The sequence below is a fragment of the Homo sapiens genome, chromosome 5, assembly GCF_000001405.40.
Source record: "Homo sapiens chromosome 5, GRCh38.p14 Primary Assembly".
Taxonomy (NCBI): Eukaryota; Metazoa; Chordata; class Mammalia; order Primates; family Hominidae; genus Homo; species Homo sapiens.
This window is the reverse complement of record NC_000005.10, coordinates 95850745-95860657: the sequence shown is the minus strand read 5'-3', so window position 1 is coordinate 95860657 and position 9913 is coordinate 95850745. Positions and strand designations below refer to the sequence as shown.

The 9913-nt window shown below is 47.7% G+C and overlaps 2 long non-coding RNA genes across 2 annotated transcripts in view; one reads left to right on the top strand and one right to left on the bottom strand.

Annotated features, from left to right (window-relative positions):
* Positions 1–524: 524 nt before the first annotated feature.
* On the bottom strand, positions 525–8426 carry LINC01554 (long intergenic non-protein coding RNA 1554). Its single transcript, NR_026936.1, has 3 exons — positions 7944–8426; positions 3677–3780; positions 525–1854 (listed from the first exon to the last, which is right to left on the bottom strand). It is a non-coding gene; the product is annotated as a long intergenic non-protein coding RNA 1554 (long non-coding RNA).
* The window catches only part of LOC124901029 (uncharacterized), a 23470-nt gene continuing 21509 nt past the window's right edge, over positions 7953–9913 (top strand). The window contains exon 1 of the long non-coding RNA XR_007058876.1: positions 7953–8072. This is a non-coding gene — a long non-coding RNA (uncharacterized LOC124901029). The remainder of the gene's footprint in view (positions 8073–9913) is intronic.

Genomic DNA, 9913 nt, shown 5'->3' with positions numbered 1-9913 from the left:
CGCCCGGCCAGAATTCTTTTTTTTCCTTTCAACTACAATATGTTTTTCTGAGTGAGGAAGAAAGAGAATTTACATCACAAGGCAAAAAATACTCATAATATTGCATGCATCCATGGGAGAATATATTACAATACGAGCACCATTTTCCCTGGGTGCCAGGGGTGGGGCAGTTTAGCTGGAAAAGCTAAATTCTGCTCCACTTGGATTGAAAACGTTCAGATGTTTTGTTTATGTGTTTGCTTTCTTGCTTATTCACCTACGACATCTAATCCTTTAGTCTGAATAGTATCCAGTGAATACACTCCTGTCCCTCTCCTCAGTCCTCACCCAAATGCAGTAAAGCAAGAGATCAGCAGGGCAGCCAGAGAGCCCACACCAGTGAGGCCAGGAAAGAAAACAGAGCTCAAGAGGGTCCACATGAAGGTTTCCTTCCTTATCTAGTCCCCAGAGGCTTTTTTTTCTAAGTAAAACTCCCAAAGAACTAAAAACAAAGGAAACACAAAAAATTCAACGTGGTATAGAAATTTCGGTAGAAGAACTTTTATTGAACAGTAAGATTCAAGATTTCACCAGGTGAGAGGGGGAATTGAAAATTAGTAGAAAAATTCCAAGGGGACCAGTTAGCCACAACAAAGAATGGGGTTCAGGGAACTTCTTAGGGATGTATCTTCCCCTCAATACAGGTAGAGGAGCAGCATCAGAAGCAGGGCGTTGGAGAGAGGCATAGAAGAGAATCACCTTCTCCTGGCCCACGCAAGCTACCTGGTGTACCTTCAAGTTCAGGCCAGCTGCTGTTCCTGCCCGCTCTTGGAGATGAAAAGGTTTCCCATGCCCCCACCTCCTCCCGAGTTAATTCTCTCCAGGTGCTTCTCTTGATGTAAACCCAGGGTGCTATTAGCAGGCTCCTTGTTCTCTTGCTCAAATCCTTTCCAACCTTTCCAACCTGTGGAGCTCTGCTGTTTCTAATTTCTAACCCCCATCTTGTTTCTTTCCCCCAATATTGAATTCTGCCATAATCTTCAGATCAACTCTAGTTGTCTCCATTTTTTTTCTGAATGCTAAAACCTTCCAGCCGTCTTCTCTTCCACTCCCTGACCACTCACGAGTCACCTGCATTTCTTACCCCAGTCGTCATCCTTGTTTCCATGAACGATCCTCTCCAGGGCTTCCTGCCAGAAAAGTATTTTGCAAGTTTCATTTGAATTTCTACACAGTATAATTCTGAACATGTAAATAATATATAAAGTCAACCTATGTTTGGAGCTAAGAGTGACAACAATCTCTCACACTACAGATCCGTCCCAAATTGGTAATGCCCTAAAAATGCTAATAAAAATAAGGTGCTTGTGAAATACTCAAATCCCTTCAGTTAGTACAAAAACAACTGGTGACCTAAAAATTCAAGGAATGGCCCAGAGTAAAGGGAAATGTAATGTTGACTCTGGTTTACAGAAAGTGAATCTGAGTCATGGCAGATCCTGAAATTTCACATGAACTCATTCTGCCTGTAAATGCCCCAGCATCAATAGTGAGCAAACGTGCATTCTGGCCAGCCAGGCAGAAGCACTTTGTTTTCCATTGTGCGGTGACGCCAGATCCCCATTGCTTCTGACAAAGGCCCTCGTCAAGCCTGTGTGTCATCGTTTGCGTTTGCCACAGCTGCAGCGGGGTGCGCGCAGACCCACTTCCCGACTGCTCATCAACCGACCTCCCTGGGGCCGAGAGGCAAGCCGGGTCCGCGCGGGGTGCAGCGCCACCTGCTGGAATTCATGCGATGGAGCAGCAGCCTGAAGTGGCTGCGGAGTCCAGAAGTCCTGTCCTTGAGGTTTGCTTTCAGACAACGGCCAGTCCTGACTGCAAGAACAAAAACACTAGCAGAAATATGCACCCGTTACGCAAACCAGCCCTTAAGGCTGCACATGATCCTTTCCCCACTACAGAATGTGGTGTGGCGTGTATATGTGCACCAGTGAGTATGTGGGGGGAGAGGGGGTACACCCATTTGTGGTGGGGGGGGTATAATGTGGTGTGTTCATGTGCGGTGTCTGTGCATGACCTCTCAAAGGTAGGAAAAGTGGCATCGTCGTCATACTCCTTGTTGGATTGGTAAGGAATTGTTCAGTTGACAGAGATTTTGATATAACTTGTTCCATTTATTTCCTCGCTACGCCGTTCAAGTAGATAAAACGTTCTCGACCAAATGAATTGCCAGTGCTCTGGCTCTCTAGAAGAATTACTCATGACCTAACCACGCTGGAGGCTGACAGCTAACTAATGATCTTTCCCTCTTTTCAAAAGACTTTGCCCATATGGGAACAAAGACTGTCATGATCCCCCAGCCAGGCAGGGCTGGCCCTGGGCTTGGAGGAGGCGATGAAGTAAGACACAGGCAGCTATGGGAAGAAGTCAACCACTTCCACGAGGCCAATTGTGGGTGTCTCAGGAAACAGACAAGTTGCGAGTCTATGTTTTTGCCAGATCCTCTGCCCCTTTAGAGACGTGCTCGCATGTCACATGCGTGAGGCAACTTTCCGTGCCTAGGAGGTTACTGACTTAAACCCAGGGACACTTGTTGAAGTGGGAGGCCTGACAGACAAAGGCAAAGGTGTTTGATGAATGGCTCTGCTGGCTGGTGATGTGGAAGTGTTTGCTGACAGTTCGAGAAACACCAGGGAGCCAACAGATTAAGTGTTCTGTATTTTCCTGGCTACTAAATAATAACTACAGTTTCCTGAGGGTTTACTCATGCCAGGCAGAAGGCTAAGTGCTTTACCTTTGTTTTTTTGTTCATGAAATCCTCAAAACTGCTCTATAAGCCATGCACTATGATCAGCCCTGCTTTCCCGATGAGGAAACTGAGGCCCAGAGGGGTAAGTTCCCTGCCTAAGGTTACACAGCTCAGGAGTAAGGGGAGGACTCAGGTCTCTGCGGGCCAAAGGCCAGGCTCCTGATGCTGACCCTCCTGCTTCCCTGCCATTAGTGCCCTGCGAGGCCCGGACCTGCCCTCTATTTTCCCGCTCATTTTAGGGCCACAGTGACTCACCAGCCATGTGCCCATACCACTCATTTTCACAGAGCCCTGGAGTATGAGAGCAGGGCTTGAGGAAAGAGCTTTCGTTCACTTTGTTTTGAGCCAGGACAACAGACTGGGAAGTGGTTGGAACACACAGTTCTGGGTCAGAGGTCAGAGAACAGACAGGACTCCAAAGGCTAAAACAAACAAGATTTCTCACAGCAGCTCTGGCCGCGTTGAGACCCACGGGCTGGGGCTGGCCAGTCTGTCCCCACGTGGGATAGACTGTGTCCAGAAGGGTGGCCTGGCCTGCTCCTGGCTAGAGCAGATGAGGAAACCACTGTCCTGGATTCAGCTCCCAGTTCTGCCACATTCCAGCTGAGGGCCTGTGGGACAGTCGTGAAGAGCCACATATGGCAATGTCATCTCTCAGGAACCCAAGACGCCAAGGCCCCTCACTGTAATGTGGCAATAACGCCAGCTAGCATGCAGAACTGTTGTGGGGTAATGAATGGAAGCTAATGTATGAGAAGGAGCTGTTACACTCCAGGACTCTAGATACCAAATTTTATGGTTATCAGTTTCACAGCAAAAAAAAAAAAAAAAAAAAAAGAAAGTACTCTTATTCTCAAATTATTCTTATTAGTTCTGGTGTGCACTTACATGAGAAATGGCAAAGGGATATTCTGCTTGCAGTCTTTTGCCCTCTGGCAAAAACTTTCCAGACAGGGTGTCATCGTGTGCAGCTTCCGTGATGCAGTTTGATCCTGATAGGTAACAAGAGTGACACGTTTTATCAGAATCTTTTTACATGGCTCAAGGTCACTTCCACCGACACCAGTGCTATTAATATTTCCCCCATTAAGCCAACCCGTCCTAAGAGCCAAAGAGAATACCATAGTTCCAGGTTTCGGTTTGAAGGTGCTGATGGATGAGAGTAGAAGGGAGTGAATGAGGAAGCCCAGACCTTCCTGCAGGAGCAGGGAAGCAAGACCCAGGCCAGCACTGCCCACCCCCCAATAGCCTTCCCAAGGGTGAGGGGCAGCCATGCGGAAACTGGCACTCACTAGGCCAAGACAGCACAGGCCTCCAACCTTCAGACAAAAGCCTTTTGTCTGGGAGGTGCTGGGGGACACCACACAATGCTGTTTCTTTCTAAATTATTTTTTTCCCCTGAATGCTATCTAGATCCTGGAAATCTATTTCCATGAAATGATTTTAAAATATCCTATATGATAATTGAACGCTTGTCATCAACATGAATGTCCAACATTAGGGGCATGGTTAAGTATAGAATGTTGTATCCCATGATGTTTATAAGAGTTTATAAACATGTGGAGGAAGGGTACAATAGCATAAAGGAAGGCTTGTGTTAGGCTCACATATGAAAAATAAAGAAACAAGAAAAAAAGCTGCAGGCAGGAGTGTACAATGGTAGGAGCTGACGGTACAAAAGATAAATGCTGAAACTATTCTGTAGGATACTGAAATGATGGATACTGACCTGCATTCGTCAAAACCCACAGAACTGTACAACACAGAGAATAAACCTTAAAGTAAATGATAGACTTTATTTAATAATAATGTATGAATATTGGTTCACTAATTGTAACAAATATATGGCACTAATACAAGTTCTTTGTTACACGATGTTAATAATAGGGAAGGGAATATGTTCAGGGAAGGAGGGCAGAGGGAAACAGCTGTCCTAGCTGCTCAATTTTACTATAAACTTTAAACTGTTCTAAAAAATGAAGTGTATTAATTTTCTTAAAACTAAAAATAAATAAAGAAATAACCAGAAGGCAATAAATCAAAATATGAATAGCACTGGTTTTGGATAGTGAGACTATGACTAGCTGCTTTTTCGTTTTTTACTTTTCTGATTTTCTCCATTCTAATTTTATCAATCAGGTAAAACTAATGAAAAGTTTTAAAATCTTGTCTGGGTGACTATTCTCTGAGGCAGGAACTGTGTTGGCTCACAGTGCTCTGTGGTCTAGTTCCCTAAACACAGCAGGAATTTAGTAAGTTTTGCTAATAGCGCATAAGCACTTTTAAATACATCTTCAACTCTGTCTGCCTTGCAGCCTACAAGCTTGTCGCCTCACGGCCCGAGAGAGGACAGCAAATTAAAGTAATAATTGTGAGAGGAACAGATCAGAGCATCTAACGAGTGGTTGGTTGGGTCACTGTAAATTGAAAATCTCTCCTTAAGTGGCTAGAGGCCTGCGTGGGCATGTCGAGAAGCATCTATTAAGTGGCATCAATGGGTAGAGTGGTGGGTGCTGATATAAGACCAAACCCAAGATATCATGTCATCAAACAAGAAGCATGGGCAAGGCTTTGGCATGTAGAAATTGCTGCAATGGGCTGGGTGCGGTGGCTCACGCCTGTAATCCCAGCACTTTGGGAGGCTGGGGCGGGCGGATCATGAGGTCAGGAGATCAAGACCATCCTGGCCAACATGGTGAAACCCCGTTTCTACTAAAAATACAAAAAATTAGCCAGGCATGGTGGCGGGCGCCTGTAGTCCCCAGCTACTCGGGAGGCTGAGGCAGGAGAATGGCGTGAACCCGGAAGGTGGAGCTTGCAGTGAGCCGAGATCAAGCCACTGCACTCCAGCCTGGCTGACAGAGCAAGACTCCGTCTCAAAAAAAGAATAAAAAGAAATTAATGCAGTGAGATTGGTTTGAGAATTGGGAAGAATTATACCAAAACAATTCTTAGCCGAGTGCCTGATACTTGGTGAACAGTCAACAAACAGTAACTGATACTTCAGAGCATTATAGGGATTTGTTAAATCCTAGTTTTAGGATTATTTAGGAATAAAGCTCAGAGACAAAGCAATCCTTCATATTAAAATTGTTTTACAATTTACAGTGCTTCTTGACATTGATCTCATTAACTGCCTTCATTTGTAACCTTGTATGACTGCAAGCTCCTTGAAGACAGGGCCATGTCTTGGTTTCGTATCTCCCCCTCTTAACACTGTCTGGCACATAGTTGGTTTTTACAGTGGATTAAAGGCTCTTACCACAAATTCACTGATGCCTCCCATCCAGAGGTGATGTCTATGTATTTTATTTCCCCTTTTGAATCTGGGCTAACCTGTGACTGCTTTGACCAACTGAGTATGGTGGAAGTGACATTATGACACCTCTAAGCCTAGCCTTAAGGCAAACCTTGTCTCTTGGAGCCCTGAGCTTTCATGTAAGAAGCCCAGCTACCCTGCTGATGAGTCCATGTGGAAAGGCCTAAGACCACATGGAGAGGGAGTGGAGCCCAGCGGAGTCCAGCTTTCCAGCCATCCCGGTCAAGGGATCAGCTAAGTCGGCAAAGCCATTTTGACAAGTCCAGATCAGATCAGCTGCTACTTGAATATCTCAAAGGACTCCAGCTGACTCTACAGGGAGCAGAATCACCCAGCTGAGTCCTGTGTGAGTTCCTTACCAACAAAAGTCATGAGATACCTTGAAATGATTGTTTCAGCCACGAAGCTGGGGTCATTTATTATGAAACAATAGATAGCTAGAACAGCTCTTACTAAATGTTTGCTATGGATGGATAAACAGATGGATGGGTGGATGGATGGATGGATGACTTAGAAGGGCCATTATTTTTCCTAGAGGAATAATGCTCAGAGATAAAGCAACTTGCCAAAGTTCCTGTAGTAAGCATTTGTCATTATTTCCTCCTCCCTTAGCATCTGAACCTCCTTCTCCTTTTGGAGAATTTTCTGTCTTATTAGGTAGAGCTACTTCAAATTACAGAAACAAAAATGCCATATATGCCTTTCCACAGCCTTCTTTAAAGCTAAGGTACAGGCCCGTGGTGCAAGATCTTCCAGTGAGACACTCCTGCCTCAGACTGTGAATCAGAAACTGGGGCAGGCTCCATTCCAGTGGGTGGGGGCAGCAGTTGGAGTCTCAGCAACACAGACCCTCCAGAAGCCCTGCAGCCACAGCCCCAGCAGCAGGGTCCTGTGTCCAGGCTTCCTGGTACGAGCCCCCCAGCCAGGTCCCATGTCTAGTGATATGAGCCAGAGTTGCTGTGCCTGGCAGCAGCAGGATCTTCACTGCATTGTGAATCCAGGCCGTTCTTCCTATCTCCAAGCTTGTCATCTCTCCCTCTTAGGGGTGGGGTGAGCTATGCTATCCTATCTATTTTTAATAAGTTCTTTCTCTGCTGAAAGCTAGGAACCCTGGCTGACAGTACCAGATGTGGATTTCTCATTCTAGGATGCCATGTTCTCCATGAATAATTTTCAAATGGTGTCCTGAAGGTCCTAGGGTTCTCCTGGGCATAGTCTGTAGTCCCAGCTACTAGGGAGGTGTGAGAATCGCTTGAACCTGGGAGGCAGGGGTTGCAGTGAGCCGAGATCACACCACTGCACTCCAGCCTAAATGACAGAGCAAGATTCCGTCTCAAAAAAAAAAAAAAAATTCCTTGGTCTGTTTGCTCTAATATTTTTGCTTTGGGTGGTATGTATTGTTGTCTTGTACAGTTTTGATCTTTCTTTTAATGTAATTTTCCTCCTTAAGTTTTGACCTTCTTCTGTCCTGTGAGCTCCTGTTGAAAGGGGGTATTGGCTACTCTGGCACTCTGCATCAGGAAAGGAGTATAAGGGAGGGAAGGTGGTGAGCCCCAAGCATTAGAACCACCATTCCTATTCCCATTTGCTAACATTCCCATTTGCAACTCCAGCCAAGATTTACCTTTAGCTTTAGGAAGAAGAGCAATAGGGGTAAGTGGTTTGTTGTCAGTTTTTAGAATCCATGCTTCCTTCTTGCTTCCATAGCTTCTTCAGCATTGCCTTGCAGGAAGGAGCTACAGCCACGCCAGTTGGACAACTAGCAGGAAGTGGAGATTCTGAATAAATGATTAATCAATTTCACCTAGCGGGACAATTAGAAGAGGAATAACTTACATGTGAAGCAGAGCTGGGTGCCAGCTTGTCATGGCCTGGACTGTTGGCTCTCTCTGTGATCCCACTGTGTCTGGAATTGGTGGGTTCTTGGTCTCACTGACTTCAAGAATGAAGCCGCGGGCCCTCACGGTGAGTATTACAGTTCTTAAAGGCAGTGTGTCCAGAGTTTGTTCCTTCTGATGTTCAGATGTGTTCGGAGTTTCTTCCTTCTGGTGGGTTCGTGGTCTTGCTGGCTCAGGAGTGAAGCTGCGGGACCTTCGCGGTGAGTGTTACAGCTCTTAAGGTGGCGCATCTGGAGTTGTTCGTTCCTCCCGGTGGGTTCGTAGTCTGGCTGGCTTCAGGAGTGAAGCTGCAGACCTTCGCAGTGAGTGTTACAGCTCATAAAGGCAGTGTGGACGCAAAGAGTGAGCAGTAGCAAGATTTATTGCAAAGAGCAAAAGAACAAAGCTTCCACAGTGCAGAAGGGGACTGGAGTGGGTTGCCAGTGATGGTTGGGGCAGCCCGCTTTTATTCTCTTATCTGGCCCCACCCACATCCTGCTGATTGGTAGAGCCCAGTGGTCTGTTTTGACAGGGCGCTGATTGGTGCATTTACAATCCCTGAGCTAGACACAAAGGTTCTCCACGTCCCCACCAGATTAGCTAGATACAGAGTGTCCACACAAAGGTTCTCCAAGTCCCCACCAGAGTAGCTAGATACAGAGTGTGGATTGGTGCATTCACAAACCCTCAGCTAGACATAGGTTGCTGATTGGTGTGTTTACAAACCTTGAGCTAGATACAGAGTGCTGATTGGTGTATGTCCCTGAACTAGACATAAAGGTTCTCCAAGGCCCCACTAGAGTAGCTAGATACAGACTGTTGATTGGTGCATTCACAAACCCTGAGCTAGGCACAGGGTGCTGATTGGTGTGTTTACAAACCTTGAGCTAGATAGAGAGTGCACATTCGTGCATTTACAATCCCTGAGCTAGACATAAAGGTTCTCCAAGGCCCCACCAGAGTAGCTAGATACAGAGTGTAGATTGGTGTATTTACAGTCCCTGAGCTAGACATAAAGGTTCTCCACGTCCCCACCAGACTCAGGAGCCCAGCTGGCTTCACCCAGTGGATCCCGCACCTGGGCTGCAGGTGGAACTGCCCGCCAGTCCCACACCGTGCACCCGCACTCCTCAGCCCTTGGGTGGTCGATGGGACTGGGCGCCCTGGAGCAGGGGGCGGCGCTCGTCGGGGAGGCTCAGCCGCACAGGAGCCCATGGAGTGGGTGGGAGTCTCAGGCATAGCGGGCTGCAGGTCCCGAGCCCTTCCCGGCGGGAAGGCAGCTAAGGCCTGGCGAGAAATCGAGCGCAGCGCCGGTGGGCCGGCACTGCTAGGGGACCCAGTACACCCTCCGCAGCCGCTGGCCCGGGTGCTAAGCCCCTCATTGCCCGGGGCCGGCAGGGCCACTCGGCTGCTCGGAGTGCAGGGCCCGCCAAGCCCACGCCCACCCGGAACTCCAGCTGGCCCGCAAGCGCCGCCTGCAAAGCCCCGGTTCCCGCTCGCGCCTCTCCCTCCACACCTCCCTGCAAGCTGAGGGAGCCGGCTTCGGCCTTGGCCAGCCCAGAAAGGGGCTCCCACAGTGCAGCGGTGGGCTGAAGGGCTCCTCAAGTGCCGCCAAAGTGGGAGCCCAGGCAGAGGAGGTGCTGAGAGCGAGCGAGGGCTGTGAGGACTGCCAGCACGCTGTCACCTCTTACCACTATCATCTTCGTCATGCAGTCCCTGATAGTCCTACCCTTGACCTCCAGAAGTTGATGCTCCAAGCATGAGGCAGGGGCGCCTAGAGTTCCTGACCTCAGTGACCTCATTGATTCCTGTGTTTAAAGTTTCTGAGGAACCTGAAGGCTGACTCAAAACTGCCTGAGATCTTTCTTCATCGTTCAGTTCAAACACAAGCCACAATTGCCTAGGCAAGTAGAAAGGGAAGGTAGATGT